Raw genomic sequence first — 22794 nt, forward strand, 5'->3', positions numbered from 1 at the left:
CCACAAAGGAAAAGACTGGTAGATTTGAAGGTCTGAATACATGCAAATTTTAAATGTTTAGTTGTTAAAAAACACCATTACAAAAATCTAAAGAATCAATAGATAACTTGCAAAAATATTTATGCCACAGGCAACAGAGGGTATGACATGTAATCCAAATCAATAAGAAAAAGACAAAAGAGCAAAAGCCATAGACAGGCAATTCAAGAAAGAAATGCTGTCCTTCTCAGCCGAACTGCCCACCCAGGCGAAATGTGAAGCTGTTGCCTGTATGTTTTGTCTCCCTCCTCCAGAGACTATGGTGGCATCGCAGGGTGCTGATCCCTGTGATAGGAGAGATGACCAGCATTCCATAAGCCCCATCTCATCCATCTGGAACCCCCTCACCCACCCCAATCACTTTTCTCTTCACTAAGAATCCAGACCCTTTTCCCCAGTGGCCACCTAAGCAACTCAAGCCCACCAACCAGGCCAGATGATTTTAAACAATAAAAGCAGGATAGAGATGTTAAGAAACTGTGTATCTGAGGGTCTGACATCCTGAGAGCCCTTTCTGGGGGGTGGGGGTGTTTGGTAAGGAGTAATATAAACCTCAAAAAATTCTTACCTTTGGACTATCAATGGTGGGTTGCTCAGGAATTAATACAAAGTGTGTGTATGTGGTGAGGGGGGTGGGAATCAGGAATTATTTGTTCAAAAGGATTGTCATTGCAATATTATTTACGGTAGTGCCAAGTTGGAAGCTACCCTAATGCCCAATCACAAGGTTGGAAACATTTTTGGATATCTATAGGATGGCATATGCTTTGCTACCCACAAAAACGATGATGCAGGAGACTGCACAATGACACAGAGAGATGTTCATGGCATGCGGCCAATTGAAAAATGCAGGTTATAAAACAGTATAGTCAGCATTATTCAAATGATGTTTAGAAGCAGTTATATATTCACGGAAAAAATAGAAGAAAGGTTAATAGTAGTTATCAGTGAGTGATGAGATAATAAGGCTTTTTTCTTCTTTAAATTTATCTGTATTTTCCAAATTTTCTACAATGAATAAACATTTTTGTAACAAGGAAAAATCTATTATAAGAAGAAGCCATTTCCGGTGTCTCTTGGTTCAGTGAGGGCTGGGGTGCTGGAGAAGGGGAAGCAGGTCATGGGAAGATAATTAGGGAAATCAGAGTGACGCCCCCTCCCACATTGCCTGAGAGCAGGGTACGAGCAGAGAGTTCCTCCTCCCGGGACCTGTCACCTTCTGACCCTGCAGTCTTTTGGCACCTGCCCCAGGTCCCCCTTTCTCTTGCGGCCGTTAGAAAACCACAGTGAGCTGGGGCTGGAGAGAGAGAGAGAACAGGGCTGGAGGTGGCCATGAGGACTTTCAGGGTAGCTCCTTTAAGCCTGGGAAGACAGTACAGAGGGAGAGAAGAGGGAAGAGTCAGAGGCTTTTAGAGGTGGTGGAAGGAGGAACTCCAGGAGGCGGCCAGGTGCCAGGAAGTCAAAAAAGAGAATTTCCAGAAGAGGATGGTGCATTCTCTGGAGGCAGGCAGAATGTGTCCTGCTCACAGAGCTTATTACAGGGAACCAAGACTTCAACACCTAAGACACTGGACCCTGCCCATTTGCACCCAGACCCATGGAAAACAAAACCTGTCCTTTGGGAGGACACCCTCAGGTCCAGGAGAGTAACAGGAAGGTGGAGAAAAAAGTCACTAGAAATCTGCTGGAGGGCACCAGAAAGGTGCAGAAGGGGCCTGACGATAGAAACAACCCCAAGAACCAGTGGCAGACCACCCAGAAAGGCCAGCAGGGCGGGGGTCTGAGAAGCCATCGGAGCCAGCTGTCCTGTCCTCCCTAATTCCACAGAGGCCCAAGGTGGGGCAGGAAACTGCCCCAGGCCACACAGAAAATTAAGACTAAGACCAGACCAAATCATGGATTTCTAACTCCCTCCCCAATGCACCATTCATTATTCCCTAGGGAGAATGTTTAAAATGTTGAAAACTTAAATAATTCCTGCACATAAATTATTTAAAACTATATAAAAACATTATTTGTCATCCAGTTCAATTTATGAGGTAAATATAGACACAATTCCAAGACTTGATGTGACATCAAATTTTTTGAACTAAAAATAGACCAATATTGAATAGAAATACACGCACCATAATCCTAAATGAAATTTTGACAGATGGATTAACTATATAAATAGAAATTCCATGAAAATAAAACAGCATCTCTCTCCAAGGTGCCAGGTTGATATGGAACAAGCAGCCAGGGGCAGAACCCACAGACTTGTTGAGCATCATCCAAGCGCAACTGCATGATGAACTCACATTCTACCCCTAGCCACGCTAAAATATAAGGATGCTAGGATTATCTCTGCAGCAGCTTCTTTAGAGAATGCCTGCTTTCACTATGCCCTTCATTCCATCCATAAATTTATGATAGCAGCTGCCTTGGTCACAGAAGTGTGACCCTGTTCACTGGTCACCTATGAAACATCCAGGTGACCAATAACTAATTGGTCCAATAACTAGCTGGACCCATCAGAGTTCTTCCCTGGGAACTCTGAATTGGGACTTTAGTCCTTTTCTGCAGAGAGTATTTATCTGCAGAAAACATGACAAGTGAAGCAAATATGCCCAGAGAAGCAGAGATGAAAAACAGAGGAATGCATTGCTAGATTCTCTATAGGGCAGATGACAGGTGGGGAAATCAGTGCAAAAAATCAGACTAGAAGAGGGCTCAAAACCAACTATGCTGCATCTCAAAGCCCAGGTAGAGGTTTTCAGCCAGTCCTGAATGGAGTCTGACCTTTCAGTGGCCCTCATTTCCCACTGTGCCTGCAACTCTGATTCTAGTCAGCCCTGGAAGCCCAGCTGCACTCCTGCATTTGGAACATGTGAGATACTTCTGGTGACAGACTAATCAATCTCAATTCCCTTTTAGCTGGCTTGAGTAGGTTACAGTGCTTGTGGTCACTTGCACTGACTAACACCTCATTTTACAGATGAGGAAACTGAGGCTTAGAGAGCTGACATAGCTTGCCCAAGGTCTCACAGCTGGCCTGAGATTTGAACCCAAAGCCATCCAAATTCCAAGCCTGTGTTCTTTCCATTATACCTATTAATAGGAAAACTGGCAAAGATCATACAAAGAGGAATTCACAACAATTCAACATCTTTTCTCAATAAAATCTATTAAAATTAGAAATAGAGAATTTCTTATGTGGAAAAGGAAACGCAAGAATTAATTTCTTGGGAAGAGGCAAACTGAATTCAGGAGGCACTCTGTTTCATAGTAGGAAAACATTGCAAGTGTAACCCCAGAAACCTTAGTAACTGGAGCCTTTGCTCTCATCACTGAAGCTACTACAGCCTTGCTGTGGTTGTGTAGGGGCAAACCCCAGAGGGAAAGAAACAGAAGATCTCCTGCTTTTGTAGAAATACCAGAGCCAACCATGAGCTCTCAGTGATGACACAACAGCAGGGAATCCACCCAAAATACCAGCACATCCTACACTCCAACCTCTCTCAAAATAATTTCCAAAAAGAAAAGGTGAAATCTGTACAATGAAAACTCCCAAACAAGGAAAACGTAATGGCATGTAAGACACTTAGGACAGACACACTGAGCCAAGTGTGCAATGAAGAAAGGACAGTTTCACAAAGTGAATTCCCCGAAACTGTGAGGTGAGGAGTAAGGGAGGTGACTTGGCCACAAACACCTGTGAAAAGTCAGATCGAAACCCACAGGGCCACCCTTTCCTGACACTACGTCACCTCCTACACTCAGCATGCACATGGTATCTCGCTCAGCCTTCTGGCAATCCAGAGACACTCAATAAAGGCATTCACTAAAATTTTGTGCTGTAGAATTTCAGAATGAAAGAGAAGTCCTTGAGCAGGTGTAAACACCAGTAGGGCCTGTTCTGGTGGAGAGTCAGAAAATAATTCACCCTGGGGCAGTACTTTTTGTGCCAGAGTCAGCATGTGCATTTTGTGCCCTTGGTTTCCTCAGCAGGGCAGGGGCAGACAGTGGCTCTTGAAGGAAGAGGAGCATTGGCAGACAGGTCCGTACTCACCCTGCACCTCCCTCCAGGCACCTCTGTTCCTGCCAGCCCCCTTCTATGCAGATTCAGCCCCTCTTCCTCCATGGGCCATTCTTCTATTCCCATCACCATGCTCCTCAAGGGTGGGTCCTCCCTGCCCAAGCATAAAGTCCAGGTCCTCCAGCCAGCCCAAGCATCCAAGGCCTGGTCCTGCTGAACCTCCTGCCATATTAACCACTACTCCCTCCATGTGCTTTCTGCTTCCCCTAACTGATTTGCTCCTACCAGGGGACCTATTTCCACAGTTCCCTGGCTGGGTATCCCTCCTGACTCAACCTGGACAAGTCTATGCCTCCATACAAGACTCCTCTTTCCAAGATAAGCATCAATGAGCTCACTGGGGGAAGATCGCACTCCTCTGAGGACAGCAGCCCACACTGCTTTGTACTTCCGCTTTGGATTACTCAAATTTAGCTCTGCGTCTATATGTGGATGGAAGAGAGAACGAGAAAAGACCTAAAGTGAGTGCCTGGAGGGCAGAAACTTCAACGGAAGCAATTAAAAAGCTTTGTACATAAGAGGAGTATTTATGAGGTGGTTGAATATTTATTGCATATGAAAAGAAACAGAAAAATAACAGGAAAAATGTTTCATTCAAAAAGCAACAAAAAATAGAAAATAACTGGGAATACACTTAAGATGTGTGCAGGACCTAGATGAAGAGCAATATAAAACTTTATAGAAGGACACAAATGCACGAAGAGGTAAACTATTTTCTTGGATTAAAATACTAAATGTTATGAAGATGTTAATTCTTCCCAAACTTATGTTTATATTTAATGTAATCTCATTTTTAAACTTAACAATGTGAATCTAAATATCATTTGAAAATTGTACATGTACAATGCTTGCCAAGAAACATTTGTGAAAGGAGAATAATACTAAGCATTAAAATACCATATTAAGTAAGTACAATGTATAACACAAAAATAAAATCTGTGATACAAGTACGAAAATGGATAGATCAATTGATTAGAAAGCCCAAATATTAAAAAAAAAACCATATAAAATTAAAAAAATTTCAACTCGAAAATATGTATTATATGAGGAGCTCTTTATAAATCAATTAGGAAAAACACACCCCAAAAGAAGCTGACTAAGCAATTCAGAAAATAAAAAATACAAATCACTAGTAAATATCTGTCAATCCCAAAAGTAATCAAAGAAAAAGCCAATAAAAATAAAAATAATGTACATCTTTCCTGTCAGTTATCAGAGTTTAAAGCATGATAATAGATTCTATTGGAAAGGGTTAAGGACAGGGGTTTAAATCACCCTTTTGGGGAGGGAAGGCAATTTGGCAAAATACGTAGAAAATTTTAGTAAACATGGTAAACCCAGCAAGTCCCCCTCTAGGAATTTATCTTAAGGAAATATGTACAAAAAATAGCTATATATGAAGATGTTCACCACGATGTTACTGATAATATAACACGTTTGAAGCAACTTTAATATCTAACAATGGTGGATTAGAGAAATAAATTATTGCATACCCATAGGACAAATACTATGTAGCCAGTAAAAATAATGGCATATGAGAATGGGAAATAATGCCAGAAGATGGCTGCACTGCATTAAATTAAAATGGGTTACAAAATCCATTCTTCCAACAAATATTTATTGAGTACCTACTATGTACTAGGAAACAGCAGTGAACAAAGAAGATAAAACCCCTGTTCTCATGGAGCCTACATTCCATTATGAAATTTATAAACTGGAATGGAAGGTATGGCTCCAATTAACAAAAAGAAGATGTGATTGGAAGGGAGGCAGGAAAGACACAGACTGATGTGTCAGAAGTAAATAATGACCTCTGAGCTGGATCGAGGGTGGTTTTTGTACTCTTTTTGGTGCTTTTCTGAGTTCTCCAAACTTTCTATAATGAACATATATCACATTTATAGTCAGAAAGAAAAATGAAGTTATATTTTTAAAAAGGAATGCAAATTAAGACATACGTAATAATCAGGTTTTCAAAATCAGAGGGTTTGTTTTTCTCTAAATGCATTTCCCACCGCTGCAGAGAAGACAGGCTGGATGGGGCTCAGGAGTTGGCTGCTCTGGGAATGGAGGTGAGGGGGCTCTGGGGAAGGGACATCTCAGCAGCAGAGGTGGGTGTGGGATCCAGATAACACAGGATGAGAGGTGGGAGGAAAGAAAGTTCAGGCAAAGGAACATCTTGCAGGTCTTTCTCAAACAACCTCCCCCACAAAATCATATTGATCCTGATTACAGCGTCTTTCCCATGAGTCAGTGTCATCTCATCCCCAGGCATGGCTGAGGCCCAGGCTTCCCTTGAGCAGCTGGGACAGACAGGTTGCCCACTGGCTTGACTCAGTCCTTCCTAACCTAGCCTTTTTGATTGTTTTTTTTTCTGAGCCTCTGCTGACTTTTTGGAAATTAGCCTTCAGAATTGGTCAGTAATTATTTGACCGCTTGTTTTCTTTTTATTCATCAAATGTGTCACTTTTGGTTCCTTCTAGTACCCAGGTAATGGGTGGCCAAGATTTTTTTCCCACATCCTGAGGTATTGTAGACCCACCACACCCATGACAATCCACCCAGCCCAGTCCAAGCCCTTTCCGAGATGCCTGAGGTCCCATTTTCTGACCTCTGCTCACCCTCAGGGGTATCCTGTAAACCCCTGGCAATAGTCTGACCCCTGTAATCTCCACTCCTCAGGTCATTGGCCCCTCACCCCATTCCCCTTCAGCAACCTCCATCCCAGCCTCTGCTCCCATATGGCCTTCCTGTGTCCTCTGGACTCTAGAGCAGGAAAATCCCGAATGTCCTGGAAGTTTTCACAGACCCTCCCTTCACCTCCTGCCCTGATCTGGCCCAGGATGCTGCTCCTGGAAGTCCTCGGTAGGGGTTGTTTCTTCTCATGGACCACACTAAGGTGGGTTTGGCAGATGGGCAGGACAGCAGCAGTCACAGATCATCTACTTACTCCCTGTGCTCCAGCTCCTTGTTTGACCCCCAGTCCAGCCCTGCTCTATCTTCTAGAGCTGGTTATGGTGATCCTCCCTAAAATGGAGTGCTGATAGTCTTTGGGGTTTCATGTGGCTCCTAAGTCAGCCATGGATAGATCTTGCCCTGATCTGTGCAGCTAATCATGTGGCTTCTTTCCCAGGTGTGGATGGGCCACTGGGCTGGAGTTCGGTGGCATGAGTGAAGAAATGACACAGCTCAGAAGGAGATGAATGCTTCCAAACTTTATCATGACACACGTGATGACTTGGCACCAGCTTATGGGGCTTCTCCCAGCCCAGGCACCATCAGCCTCCAAGGATGGCCCAGAACTTTAGGATCCTGTTCCTGCTCTCTTCTTCCAGGCCATCACCTCTGTGTCCCAGCTCTCCCCTTCCATGACTTTTACCCACACACATCCCATACAACACAGCCTCAGGATGGTCCAGCACTCGTGCCACTCTCCCTGCCATGCTGGCCATTGGGCCTCTACTCTCCCTCATCCTTTTATTTCCATTCCTGTCCAGCCCCAACTCTCTGATGCCCATGCCCCCAACTTCCTATCAATCACTTTTGTCAGTGCCCTGGGTTTTCCGTCTGTGCTGATGCCCCCGTGAATGGGGCTTAATCTTCCACTCCATTGTCCCCAGCCCGGGACCAGCCTGGGCTGCTGAGAAGAGGTGGGCATGGGTAGTTATAGCAGGGTGGGCTGTGTGCTCTGACAGAAAGACTCCAAGGGGTTTGGAGGCATAGGGCACAGGGGCTCCTAGCCCAGGGCTGCTCTGAGTCCAAGTTCAACACAGAACAGAGAAGAAAATGACTGTCCTGTGGCCTGGATGTTCCTTTTGGACCACAGCTGTGAACCACATGGGCACTAGCTCCAGCCATGATAGACTCTTACTTGAGTCCATTTTTACCGCCAAATATCGCACCTTTTCTCTTCCATTCACAGCAAAATTCCCTGATGGAGCCATCTACACTCACTATTCCTACTTCTCCACCTCATGGCCTGTCCTCCAAGACGTGACTTGTCAAGGTCACTAACACCACCATGTTGCCAAATCCAGGGTCCACGTCTTTGTTCTCATCTTGCTTTTTTGCCGGGCAGCCTTCCACTCAGCTGCAGGGAAACAGCTTCCTGAGTGTTTTCTTCTCTTGCTTCCATGACAGCACACACCCCAGGCTTTCCTGCCACCTCTCCAGATGCTCCTTTGTTCTCTCCTTTGCTGCTTCTCCTCAGGAGCTGTCCTGCCTCTAAGTGCTGGAATGCTCTGGGGCTGAGTCCTCAGAGCACAATTTACACATGCTTCTCGGTCCCCTCTCCCAGCCTCACAGGTGCAAGTACTGTCTACCTGCCAATGACAACTAAATTCTTATTTCCCACCCTGAGCTCTCTCTGGAGCTTCAGACTCCTATATCCACCTTTCCTCTTGGTAACTCACACCGGATATCAAGTGGTCTCTCCAGTGAACTACAGCCCTATGGACATCGGTGCAGATGCGCTTTCCTGGCATCCTTCCCACACTTCCTGCTCTGGTACGCAGATACTCCTAGTGTGAAAGCAACTGGTAGAACCCTGCATCATTGCCAAAGTGATTGGTCGTCTAAATTAAACAAAAGTTCAGGACTTTTGTTTAATGGCTTGACAGCAGAAACTTCTGCTGGTGGATGTCAGGACTGGAACCAGTGCAGCCATTTTGCCTTATTGAGGGATGCCAGACAGAGGACAAACCAACTGATGGAGAAGCGCTGAGCCAGCCATGCCAGAACCTGTACCACCTCTGGGCTTTTCAGTCACTGGAGTCTATGCAGTCCAACTGCAATCCTCCAGTTCACCCTTGCCTCTATCTTCTCATACCTCACATCCCGCCCACCTGTCAGCAGCTCCTTCCAGCTCTGTTTTAACGACAAATGCAGAGTCCATGGGTGACTGGCTGCTCTGCAGCTGCCCCCAGCTACCTGCCCTGCCATGGCAGGTGCCTCACTGGTCACCCCACTCCTACTCTTGTCTCCCTGCTTCCCACTCCACCACAGCAGCCAGGCTCATCTTTGAAAAACCTAAATGAGATCATGTCACTAGCCTGCCTGAAACTCTCCAACTTGGAAGAGAATCCAGAGTACTTATCAGGTCCACAAAGCCACGAGCGATCCAGCCCTGTCTACCTTTCTGGCTTATCCTCTCCATGGCCCCCACCCACTCATACTGGCCTCCTCTTCCTCGGAAACTCCCTGGTCACTCCCACCGCAGGCTCTGTCCCTGTTCCACTGCACCCAAGTTCTTCCTATGCCATTCAGGTCTGAGTTCAGATGTCCTCTCCTCAGGGAGGCCTGGCCTGTGGCCCAATCTCATGGCGCCCACCCAAACTCTGTCGCAGTCCCTTGATGGATGAATACCACTTATCACTATGGGACATTACCTTGTGTGTGCATGTGTTCACTTTTTAATTGTCTGTCTCTCTCCCTCCCTTGGTAACTCCTTGTTGGCAGGCCCAGCCCTGTTCCTTACTATGTCCTAGGTCCTAGCATTGCATTTGGACAGAATGTGAATTCCAGCAATGTTCGTGGCCATCATAGAAGCAGAAGGTGGTTGTGGCCTCGCTGGTGTGGGACTTTCTGCCCCACTGCACTGGAAGCCAGAGTTTTCCTCCAGGCCTCTGGGCAGAATAGAGGTGCAGATGCAGAGGGTTCAGGGGAGAATCTGTGAGGCTTTCAGAGACTGTGGCTCCAGAGAGTAGTTCACACCAGTTCCCAGATGTTCTATGGAAAAAGCATCAGAGAAAAGGGGCCTGAGAAACCTCTGTGGCTGCAGGCATGGGAAGCCCCAACTCAGAGAGGCCCTGGGGCAGGGTGTGTGTGGGGAGATCTCAAGTCATCCTGAGGCCTTTGGTCATACATTCCACATCTGCTGGGGTCTGGAGTTCCTGATGCCATAGTGACCACCCTGACCACTATGGGGTGGGTGATACCATCTGGGACAAAGTGGGCCATGGCAGGCCTCAGGTCAGACCTGGGACTCTGCTGGACCAAGGCTACTCAGGTCTGGGCTGGGGGCGGTGGGGCTGCTGTACACATTTCCTGGCACACGCTTCCTTTCTCCCATTTGATGAGCAAATGTTGTCATTGGCGCCTTGGCCACAGTTTCCTGCCTTCTTCTGAGATCAGAAGCCATAGTCACAGTCTCAGTGACTGCCCCACAAGGCTGGTCTTGGCTGAGAGTCAGCCAGACTACTTTAGAGACAGGGCCAGGCATGTGACGTCAGCCCACGCTCCCCCACCCCCACCCCAGCCCTTCCCAAGGTGGGCACTCTGTGATTCAGGGGACACATTCAGTGGCAGCCAGTTGGATGTCTTGGGGAGGGTCAGCTCTGGCCCTGGATGGACAGGATAGCTCTGGGTAGACCTGCACTCACCACAGGTATGATGAGCACCCTTCGGGCTCTGGGGAACCCCACTGAACCCGTGGCCAAGGGTACAGATGTAGGTACTGGGGGCCATCTGTGGACCAACATCCCTGGACTGTGATCTTCACCCAAGCTCTCCACAACCCAGGCTGGACATGCCTCATGCACACAGCCCTGCCCTCCTGAAGCCATGATTGGCCTGTGGCTTTCTGCAGAGCCACTCTCTCTTTCACTTTTCATGCTGCTTCCTCTGCCTGAATACCTTTCCCCACTGTCTTCACTCATGGGACACTCCTCCTGGAAGCCCTCCATAAACTCCCTGCCATCAGGGAGGGCACCCCTCTATGCTCTCAAAGGCCCTGGACAGTGTAGTTCTCTTTCTTTTCTTTTTTTTTTTTTGAAATAGGGTCTCACTCTGTAGCCCAGGCTGGAGTGCAGTGGTGCAATCTCGGCTGTCTGCAACCTCCCCCTCCCGGGTCCAAGCAATTCTCCAGCCTCAGCCTCCCGAGTAGCTGGGACCACAGGCATGTGCCACTACACCCGGCTAATTTTTGTATTTTTTGTAGAGACAGGGTTTCACCATGTTGCCCAGGCTGATCTTGAACTCCTGAGCTCAAAGTGATCCGCCCGCCTCAGCCTCCCAAAGTGCTGGGACTACAGGCATGAGTTGCCATGCCTGGCCAACAGTGTAGTTCCCAATGAGGCTGCAAATGATCTCCCCAAGTGCTGCCTTGACTACTTTATTTAACATTGCTATCCCTCCTTCTTCTTCTTTCAAGTATCTTTGGTTCCCTTATTCTGCTCTACTTTTTTCCAAAGCATTTATCAGCTTCTAACATCCCATACATTTTCTTACTAAAATCACATGTAGTATTAGTATTGTCTCTCTTTCTCCTTGCTGAACTTTACAAGGACAGGGATCTTTGGCTGTTTTCTTTACTTATACATCTTAAGCACTTAGAACAGTGTCTGGCAACTAGGAGGCGGTCAATAAATATTAGTGGAATTAATGAACCATAGCTGTCTCTTTACTTGTTGTTAAGCTTCAAGGGTAGGGCCTAAAGATGAGCCACCTCTGTGTACTCAGCACTCAGTGCAGGATTGTGGGCAGAGCAGGCATCTGTAAACTAAAGCCCTTGGCCTGCCATTCAAGGCTCCTATCATCTACAACCAAGCTTTCTTTCTAGCCTCATTCAGCAGAGTACAGCGGGAAGAAGTTCTGGCTAAACAGTTGGCCAGCTGCTTTGCCCTGTTCACTGTGGCTCACTCCAGGCTGCCCACTCTGCCAACACCTTTATCACTACATGAATGGGACAGGCTCTGCTAAAATCTCCTGCCAATGATCAGTGGTCACTTGTACCTGGGAGTGAATAATTCTAACATCTGAGCATGAGTGGGCATCAGTATGAGTTGTGTGTGACCATGGATACTGCTCTGGGGACACTCAGAAATAATTGAGGGATGGTGGAGGGGCATGGACGTGTGTGGGTCAGAGCAATTCCTGTAATGTTCCTATTGCTATAATTACATTTGAAGAGGGGTGAGTTACAGAATACAAATCAATGGGGGAAAGGATCAATTCTTCACTAATAGTGATGGGGAAAATGGCTTTTTAGGAACAAAACAAACAAAACAAAAGCTGGTTGAGATCCCTGCCTCATGCTTAATCACAACAAAATTAATTCCAGCTTGATTAAAAGCTAAATTAAAAAAAAAAAGCCCAACAACTAGAAGAAAAGTTTAAATACTTATCCTCTCATTGAATGGTAGAAGAGTTTCTAAATAAAAATCAATGAAAGAATTTATCCAGGAGAAATCAATGTATGTGTCCATATAATGAATGCCTGTTCATGAATGATTGCAGCTTTAGGTGTAGCGGCCCTAAATTGGAAACATCCCAAATTTCCACCAACAGAAAAATGGATAAACAAATTGAGGTATAGCCATACAATGAAATACTACTCAGCAACAAGAAAGAATGAACTTTACTTTTTTTTTTTTTTTTCTGAGATGCAGTTTCATTCTGTCACCCAGGCTGGAGTGCAGAGGCATGATCTCGACTCATTGCAACCTCTGCCTCCTGGGTTTAAGTGATTCTCCTGCCTCAGTTTCCTGAGTAGCTGGGACTACAGGCATACACCACAACACCTGGCTAATTTTTTATATTTTTTTGTAGAGACAGGGTTTCACTATGTTGCCCAGGCTGGTCTTGAACTCCTGGGCTCAAACAAGCCACCCACCTTGGCCTCCCAAAGGGCTAGGATTACAGGTGTTAGCCACTGCACCTGGCCTAGGTATGTCTTATATATAATAATATAGATAGATACGTGTACAACTCAGTGAATTTTTGCATATGCGTATATACTTGTGTAAGCAACACTCAATCAGGATCTAGAACATTTTCAGTACTCCAGAGGTTTCCCTCATACTCCCTCTTACTCAATATCCTCCCAAAAGAAACCAGAGAAAGGCCAAAAGGCTAGTAGATGTGCTCATATAAATTTCACTTTTATGTGTGAAAATCATCATGAATTATATTAACAAGTAAGTATCAGGCTGGAGAAAATATTTTCCACAAATATGACAAAACATTTCTCACCTTAATATGTGAGAAGCTCTTCTAAGAAAAACTCTTGAGGCCTCAATGGAAAAATGGGCAAAGCAAAGGAAAAGGGAAAAGGAAAGGAAAAGGAAAAAGGGAAAGGAAAGGAAAGGAAAAGAAGGAAAAAAGGGAGAGAGGGAGGGAAGAAGAGAAAGAAGAAGGAAGGAAGAAAAGAAGATATTCAATCACTTTTAGTCAACTAGCATTTATGATGGGACTACTGTCTAGGCATTGACTAGATGCTGGGATTATAAGAGGAAATAAGGCACAGTGCTCACAGTGCCATGAGAAAGATAAGCAAATGACAATTAAACGAGAAGGATAAAGTCTACAATCCACCTGGTAAGCACAGGTGCTATCTGAGCCCAGAGCAGTTATCTGACCCAGACATGGAGGTTTCCTGGAGGGAGCAGTGTCTGAGCTATGGTTTGAAGAGAAAGAGGTGGTACGAAGGCAGGAGAGGAGGAGGCCAGCATTCCAGAGTGAAAGAAAAACTTGCGTAAAGGCCTGGGAAGGAGAGAAAGGAGCATGAGTTGTTCAGGCCGGGTGAACCCAGGGTTCAGGGGCACAGGAGTGATGGGAGATAAGGCTGGAGGAAAAAGGGGCCATGACCTTGGACACAAGGCCATAGAGAAACTGAAGAATTTTGAGAAGCAGGGGAGTGAGATGCCTGGAGTTAAATTTAAGAAGACCACATCTGGCTCTGGGTGGGAGAGAGATTGACAGAGCAGGACTGGAGGGCAGGATTCTAGTGAGAAGCCTGTAGTAGACAATGAGTAAGAAGCCATGGGGTTGGGGGCAGGGGACAGGGCCAGGAAGAGTCTTCCCAACAGGATTGAGAGAGTGCTTGAAGGTAGAGGTGAGGTGAGCAGGTGATGTGAGGGTGAGGCGCAGGGGAGGTGAGGATGACCATGTGGCTTGAGTTTCTGGGTGGATGATGGTGGTAGTCACTGGGTGAGAAATGCTTTGGGAAGAGAGGGCTCAACTAGAGAAAGATGATCCAGCTTAGAATGTGGTAAGCTGGAGGTCGGGCACAACCCAGGGGAGACACTGGCCTAGAGGTGTCATGGAGCTGTGGAATGCTGGCTGTCCTGGTCTAAGTGGTAGAGTTCTAAGACTGTTTTGGAGTCAGACAGAGGCAGAGGAATAAGTTACAAAGTCTAGAAGGAGCTGTCAGGAGGATAACCAGAAAAACCAATAAGGCTGCTGCTGCAACAGGTTAAGGATTCTGAAACCATTTAGTGAAATCCCTGGAGTAGATACTCACTGAAATTGAACCCTCATGTGCTTCAACTATAGCAAGGACCTTAAGCAGTGCTCCTTTCAAAGCAGCCTCCTTGGGTAGTGGGCTCACAGCCCACACTGGAGGAGTGAAAAAGGAAATATGAGAGTAGGAGAGAACAGGATTTCTACCCAAACTCCTATCCCCCTCATTGTTGCTTGTGGTCCCTGGGCTCTGCTCCTTATAACTTTCCTTAGTTCCCAAGAAGTCAAAGAAAAATCGTAAGATGACAATTACATTAAAGGAAAATGTTAGGGGATATTACCCAGTTGTAATTTCCTGGTAAATTGTTATCCACAAGGCTTCCCCAATTCCCATGGAATGTGATGTATCTGAGACTTCCAGGGAGGGGTCAGAAACAGAAAAAACAAAACAAAACAAAACAAAACAAAAAAAACTTTTGAGTTTCAAAAGCCCAAACTCTTAAGGAATTTGGGACACAGGGAATGAATGCAAAATGATTTTGAGCTAGGCCTCTAGCCCAACTAGACAAAGGTTCCCTAGACTGGTAGGAGGGAGTATTTGGGGCGATGCCAGCCAGAGGGAAAGCGAAGGTCCCTAGGAAAAGTCCTGTCCCTCCCCCTTCTTGGCCAGAAGGATTTAAAGGATCTCGGTGTGGAAGGGTACCCTCTTCTCAGGTGGAGCTAGAGGTGGGTGAGACCACACAGTGGCCAATCTAGGTTGCTGGGCCAGAGACTCTCACAGAGATTACTGTGAACCTCCAGCTTGGCCCAGGAGCAACAGGATGGCTAGGGGCAACAGAGCCATCCAACCTCTTCCCCTCATGGCGGGGTGTCTGTGACCTGAGAGAGGGTCAGATGGAAGAAGCCTGGGTGAGGAATGAGGGAAGATTTTGCAATGACATATGAAAACCAACATCTGAAGGCCCTCATTGATTCATGATTACGTGGTTTGTTGTTGTCCATGCCTCTCTCTTCTCTGATGGCTCCAAAATACCCAGAATGTAAATACAACCCAGGAAATGGGAGAAGACCCAGATGAATTTATCAAGTATCACAGAGGCTTGCAATGGAGAATGCATTTAGTCACAAAAATAAACTAAAAGGCTTCATTTACAGTAATATACTGGTCTAGGTTATTTGAATTGAAAAAAGGCATGAATTACTTGATAAGATAGTCAAGAAGGACTAGAGTACAACCTAGGGGTAGAGTAAAAACTGAAGGGGAGAAAAAAGGGAAAACAAAATTCTGAAGCCACTTCTGCTCAGAGTATTTACCAGTCCTGCAAATCTTGACTTCAGTTCTGATGGTCTTACAGAGTGAGGAGTCAGAAGTCAAAGTGCAAGCCTGCCTGAGGTAGGGAGTCTAATAGGGCACACTTTCCTCACTAGCCTGTGGCCCTAGAGGCCTGCACTTTCAGAATAAGAATGAAACAGAAATAAATCTGGCAGGAGCTAATGCAGTCACCTTCATCTTAGACCTCAATTATCACCATAAATAATTTTTCAAGGACTTTGAAACATGCACAGTAAAAATTAACCAGGCATATGAGAAAACAAAGCACTGTGAATGAGCACCAGAAGAAACAGAACCACAAAGACTTTAGATATTTCAATTATCAGACATAGATTATAAAACAACTATGTTTGTTAAGATTCAAAGAAACAGAAGAGAAGCTTGAAAATATCTGAAGGAAATAGGAAACTATAAAAAGTAATCTAGCAGTTTTGAATTAAAAAATAAAGTAGAACTTGTAGCATTTTAAAAACACAACACAAATAAAAAACTCAATGGAAAGGTTTATAGCATACTAGATTCAGCTGAAGAGAGACTTAGTAAACTGTAAAACAGGTAAGAGGGCATTATCCAGATTATAGCACAGAGAGAAGAAAGAAAGACAGAAAAAAGAGAAAAAGAAGAAAGAAAGAAGAAAGAAAAAGAAAGAAGGAAAGAAAGAAAGAGAGAGAAGGAGGGAGGGAGGGAGGGAGGGAAGAAGGAAGGAAGGAAGGAAGGAAAAAATGGAAATTAGGATATATGAGGGATCAAATAAAAAGAACTAACCTATATTTAATCAGGATTCCAGATGAAGCAGAAAGAATGAAACAGAGGAAATATTTAGAGACAAAACAGATTTTATTTTTCCAAAACTGATGTAAAGGCATCAACTGTCACACTTAAGAAACTTATTGAAACCCAAAAAGAGTAAATAATAATAAATCTACATTAAGACACATTATAGGTATACTGTAGATCATAAACGACAAATAGGCAATCTTAAAAAGAAGTCAGAAAAGGAATATATTGACTTGAAAGGAGCAGGAATTAGATTGACAGCTGACTTTTCAATAGCAATAATAAAGCCAGGAGGCAGGGGAATCGTTTATGGAATGTGCCAAAGGAAATAACTGCCTGCCTAGAATTTTATATTCAAGAAATAAAAACTGAGAGATTTCGTAACCATTTAGTTCTGACTAAAGGAAATTCTAAAAGATACACTCAAGGCGTTAGGAAAGTAATTCCACATAGAATGTTTGAGATGAAAGAAGAGCAGAGAAAGTATAATCATGGAGGGGGGGAATAGAACTAAGCAAACACAAACTGCATAAAACAGAAATAATAATCTCTTATGGAGTTAAAATATAGCAGGAAAATACACAAAAATGAAAACATATAAGTTGGGAAATAGGTAAATGATATTAAAATGTTCCAAACTATTTCTCAAGAGGAAAATAATAATTAACTTTAGACCTTGATAAGTTAAGAATGTTATAATTTCTAGGGTAATCACTAAAAGAATTGAAACACAGTGTATAACTTCCAGTCTAGTAGAGGGGTAAAAAAGATTTAAAAAAGAAACTAATCCAAAAGAGCAAAACCAAACCAAAACAAACAAAACAAACAAACAAAAAAACAAAGAAAAAGAGCAGGAAAGACAAATGAAAATCACTGTATAAGATGATAAATTTATCCAAAATATAACAATAATTACATTAGATTGAAAAACAAACATTTTGGGTAAAAGATAACAATTGGGTTAAAAAGCAAAACTCAATTATATGTTGCTTACAAGAGACACACCTGAAACATGAGAAAAGTTGAGGTAAGACTAGAGGAAGATAGATATACCATGCAAGCACTTACCAAAAGAAAGTAAGTGGAGCCATAGAAATATAAGACAAAATAGACTTTAAGGCAAACAGCTTTTCTAGAAGCAAAAAACTCAATGACCAGGAATTGTTCAATTCAAGAAGATACAATAATTTACGATTTGTATGTATAACCTCAAAATATATAAAGGAAAATTGACAGAACTACAAGGATAATTAGGCACATTTACAATCATAGTGGAAGATTTTTACATGCTACTCTGTGACTGACAGAATATACATATCAAAAATCCAGTAAGGACACCAAACTTTAAAAACAGTTTGGTTTTTAAAGAAAACCTGACCAAATAAACATGGATAAAATGCTGTATCCAATAACTAAAGAATACAGATTCTTCTCAACTATACATGGGACATTTATAAAAATTGACATTATACTAGACAATAAAGTAAATCTTAATAAATTTCAAACCATGACATCATCTGTAGATCCACTGTCCAATACAGTAGCCACTAGGCACAGGCTGAACACTTGAAATGTGGCTAGTCCTAATTAAGATGTATCAACACTGTATTTAAAGACATTGTCAAAAAAGAAATGTAAAATATCAGTAATTTTTTATATTCATTGCATGCTGAAATGATATAGTATTTGGATATACTATATTGTGTCAAATAAAATATATTATTACAATTAATTTCCACCTGCTTCTTTTTACTTTCCCAATATAGCTACCAGAAAATTTAAAATTACATATGAGGCTTGCATTATATTTCTTTTAAATAGCACTGATATAGAGTATATTCTCTGACCATAATGCAACTAAATAGAAATCAGTGGCAAAACAGACAAATGAAAAAAAAAAAGAAAAAAAAAACAAGAAAACTAGAAATGTCTAAATACTTAGGCATTAAGAAACATTTCAAAAATAACTCGTGCGTCAAAGAAGAAATCAAAATGTTTTATGAAACATTTAAACTGAATAAAAAAGTATAACATCAAGGTCTGTGGCATGTTGCTAAAGCAATACACTGAGCAAAGTTTAGAACAAAATGTGGCAAAATCCAGCCCACAACCCGATTTTATAAATAAACTTTTATTGAGACAAAGTTACTTCTATTTGCTTATTTACTGCCTTTGCTGCTTTTGCCCTACAACAGCAGAATTGAGTAGTTCAGACAGAGACCTGCCGAGACAAATATATTTACTATCTGACCCTTTACAGAAAAAATGTTTGGTTTAGTACATACATTAGAAAAAAATACAGCATGAAAAGTAAAAAATTAAGGATCTATGTCAAGAAATATGGCAAAGAACAGCAAAATAAACCCAAATAAAATGTATGAAAGAAGGCTGGGTGCAGTGGCTCATGCCTGTAATCCCAGGACTTTGGGAGGCTGAGGCTGGCGGATCACTTGAGGTCAGGAGTTTTGAGACCAGCCTGGCCAACATGGTGAAACCCCATTTCCACTAAAAGTACAAAAATTAGGTGGGTGTGGTGGCACATGCCCGTAGTCCAGCTACTTGGGAGGCTGAGGCAGGAGAATAGCTTGAACCTAGGAGGCAGAGGTTGAAGTGAACTGAGATTGCGCCACCGCTCACCGGCCTGGGTGGCAGACTGAGACTCTATCTCAAAAAAAAAAAAAAAAAAAAAAGGATGAAAGAAAGTAATAAATAGTAAAGAGTAATGAAATAGAAAATTATTATTTAATAGAGAGGATTGACAAAGCTCAAAGCTGGTGTTTTGAAAAGACTAAAACAATTAACAAACTTCTAATGAAATAATAGAGAGAACTAATAACCAATACCAGAACCTTTAATGTTGCAGACATTAAGAAGATGAGCACATATTTTGAAAAACCCTATGCTAACACAATTTAGAAAAAATTGACAAATTACTACAAAATTATAACCTCAAAGTTGACTAAAAAATAGAAAACAGTAATAACTCTATAACCTATAAAATAATGGATTCAGTAAGGAAACTTTGACCCCCAAATGGCTTCAACAGTGAATTCTACCAAACATTCAAGGAAAATAACTGTTCCAATCTTATACAAACTGTTCTCGGAAATATAGAATGAGAAAACATTGCTGTGATACCAAAACTGGACAAAGATAATATGAGAATATAATACCACAGGCCATTCTTACTAGCGTGACCATATACTTTATCATCCAAACCCAGGCACTTTAAGAGTGTAAATGTTATCAATAATGATGCAGAAAAAGAAGTGTAAACTGGAGTTGTTCCAGGTAAATTGGGCCATGTAGTCCCCTAAATCTCACTCATAAACATAGATACAAAAATCCTTCAAAGGTATAACACATAACTAGTAATACCAAAAAAATGGTAATAACATATGATGACCATGTTGGGTCTACCTGGAATATGAATTATTTTAACATTAGAAAATAACTTAATGGGATTCACCATATTAAAAGATTGAAGAAGAAAACACATATGATCATCTCAATATCTGTGGAAAAAACAATTGATAAAATCAACATCCATTCATGATGAAAGCTCTTAGCAAACCTAGGAATACAAGGGAACTTCCTTAGTCTGATAAAGAATATCTGCAATACACTTAGAGGAAACATCATGCTTAATGGTAAAATGATGAAATCTTTCCCTTTGAGATCTATAACAAGGATGCCTGATGTTATTACTTTTATTCAGCATTCTACAAGATATCCCAGTCTGTGTAGTAAGGAAAGAAAAATAAATAAAAGATAGAAAACTAAGAAAAATAGAAGAAAATCTGTCACTACTCATAGGTGATGCATTTGTATATGTAGAAAATTCAAAAGGATCTATAGATAAGATTTTAGTATTGATAAGAGAGTTTAGCAAGTTTGCTGGATACAAAATCAGTCCATAAAAATCAATTGCATTTCTTTATACCAGAAAAAGACATTTATTAACATGATATTTTAAAAGAAGTTGCCTTTTTTAATATAATGCCAAAATGCCAAGTTCCTAGGAATAAATATAACAAAAGTTCTCTATTAAGAAAATTTTAAACTTTATTGGGAGACACACACACACACACAAACACACAAAGTGAAAATACTGTGTTTGTTAACTAGAAGTCTCAATATTGTAAAGATGTCATTCTACTGAAATTGATTTATAGAATCAGTGCAATCTCAAAGTCCCAGCATTTTGGGGTGTGGTGGGAAAAGTTGACAAGCTAGTTTAAAATGAATATGGATAAAGAATAGCCAAGACATTCTTAAAGAAAAAGAACAAGGTGGGAGAACTTGCTCTTGTAGATACCAAGATGTATTATAAAGTTAGAATATTTAAGACAATGTGATATTAGTTTAAGGAGAGACAAATAGAGCAATGGAACATAATAGAAAACCCAGAGAAAGACCCACACCCACGTATCTATGAACCCGTGAAATATAAGAGTCAGCAATGCAAATCAGCAGGAAAAGAAGTCTTTGCAAAAAATATGCTGGAACAAATGAGTATTAATATGGAAACAGCTAAACCAGAGCCCTGCCTCATGCAATTCCAGGTCAATTAAAGACATAGATGTGAAAGAAAAGACTATAGAGTTTTTAAGATACTATACAAGAAAATATCATCATCTCAAGGTAGAGAAGGAATTCCTAAACAAAACAAAATCAGTACCTATTTTTTTAACTTTCATTTTAAATTCTGGGATACAAGTGCAGGTTTGTTACATAGGTAAACTTGTGTCATGGGGGTTTGTTGTACAGATTATGTCATCACCCAGGTATTAAGCCTAGTATTCATTAGTGCTTTTTGCTGATCCTCTCCCTCCTTTCACCCTCCACTCTCCGAAAGGCTGCAATGTGTTCCCCTCTTTGTGTCCATGTGTTATCATTTAGCTCCCACTTCTAAATAAGACCACGTGATATTTGGTTTTCTGTTCCTGTGTTAGCTTGCTAAGGATAATGGCCTCCAGCTCTAGCCATGTCCCTGCAAAAGACATGATCTTGTTCTTTTTTATGGCTGCATAGTATTCAATGGTGTATATGTACCACATATTCTTTATCCAGTCTCTCATTGATGGACATTTATGTTGATTCCTTGTCTTTGCTATTGTGAAAAATGCTGCAATGAACATACGCATGCATATGTCTTTATAATATGATTTATATTCCTTTGGGTATATATCCAGTAATGGGATTGCTGGGTCAAATGGTATTTCTGTCTTTAGGTCTTTGAGCAATTGCCACTCTGTCTTCCACAATGGCTGAACTAATTTACACTCCCACCTATAATGTATAAGCATTCCTTTTTCTCCACAACCTCACCAGCATCTGTGATTTTTTGACTTTCTAATAGTAGTCATTCTGACTGTTGTTAGATGGTATCTCATTGTGGTTTTTATTTGATTTGCATTTCTCTAATTATCAGTGATGCTGAGCTTTTTTTCATATGATTATTGGCTGCATGTATGCCTTCTTTTGAAAAGTTCATGTCCTTTGACCATTTTTTATGGGGTTTTTTTTTTCTTGTAAATTTGTTAAGTTCCTTATAAATGCTGGATATGAGACCTTTGTTGGCAAAAATTTTCTCCCATTCTGTAGGTTGTCTGTTGACTCTGCTGATAGTTTCTTTTGCTGTGCTGAAGCTAAGTTTAATTAGATCCCATTTGTCCATTTTTGCTTTTGTTGCAATTGCTTTTGGCATCTTCATCATGAAATCTTTGTCTGTGCCTATGTCCTGAATGGTATGGCCTAACATTGTCTCCCAGGGTTTTTATAGTTTGGGATTTTACATTTAAGTCTTTAATCCATCTTGAGGTAATTTTTGTATATGGTGTAAGAAAGGGGTCCAGTTTCAATCTTCTGCATGTGGCTAGCCACTTATCCCATCACCATACATTGAATAGGGAATGCTTTCCCCATTGCTTGTTTTTGTTGACTTTGTCAAAGATCAGATGGTTGTAGGCATGTGGTCTTATTTCTGGGTTCTTGATTCTGTTCCATTGGTCTACGTGTCTGTCCTAGTACCAGTGCCATACTATTTTGGTTACCATAGCCCTGGAGTATAGTTTGGAGTCAGGTAGTGTGATACCTCCAGCTTTGTTCTTTTTGCTTAGAATTGCCTTGGTTATTAAGACTCTTTTTTTTTTTGTTCCATATAAATTTTAAATTTTTTTTTTCTAGTTCTGTGAAGAATGTCAACAGTAGTTTAATGGAAATAGTATTGAATCTATAGATTGCTTTAGGCAGTATGACCATTTTAATAAAATTGATTCTTCCTATTCATGAGTATGGAATTTTTTTTCATTTGTTTGTGTCATCTCTGATTTTTCAGCAGTGGTTTGTAGTTCTTGTCAAGATCTTTTACCTCCCTAGTTAGCTATGT

At 41.9% G+C, this 22794-nt stretch overlaps 3 annotated features.

The window, feature by feature from the left end:
• Positions 8201-8401: a silencer, noted in NCBI's record as "peak5463 fragment used in MPRA reporter construct". NCBI's record gives its function as "represses an SCP1 promoter by STARR-seq MPRAs in K562 erythroleukemia cells {active_cell/tissue: K562}" and the evidence as "EXISTENCE:reporter gene assay evidence [ECO:0000049][PMID:32103011]".
• Positions 10700-10749: a silencer, noted in NCBI's record as "silent region_16311". NCBI's record gives its function as "represses an Ori minimal core promoter by ATAC-STARR-seq in GM12878 lymphoblastoid cells {active_cell/tissue: GM12878}" and the evidence as "EXISTENCE:reporter gene assay evidence [ECO:0000049][PMID:35858748]".
• Positions 13677-13856: a silencer, noted in NCBI's record as "fragment chr5:131366011-131366190 (GRCh37/hg19 assembly coordinates)". NCBI's record gives its function as "represses an EF-1alpha promoter that drives an FKBP-Casp9 reporter gene in an ReSE screen in phorbol 12-myristate 13-acetate-treated (for megakaryocytic differentiation) K562 erythroleukemia cells {active_cell/tissue: K562(+PMA)}" and the evidence as "EXISTENCE:reporter gene assay evidence [ECO:0000049][PMID:32094911]".

This window comes from Homo sapiens, chromosome 5, assembly GCF_000001405.40.
Source record: "Homo sapiens chromosome 5, GRCh38.p14 Primary Assembly".
In the NCBI taxonomy this organism is placed as follows: Eukaryota; Metazoa; Chordata; class Mammalia; order Primates; family Hominidae; genus Homo; species Homo sapiens.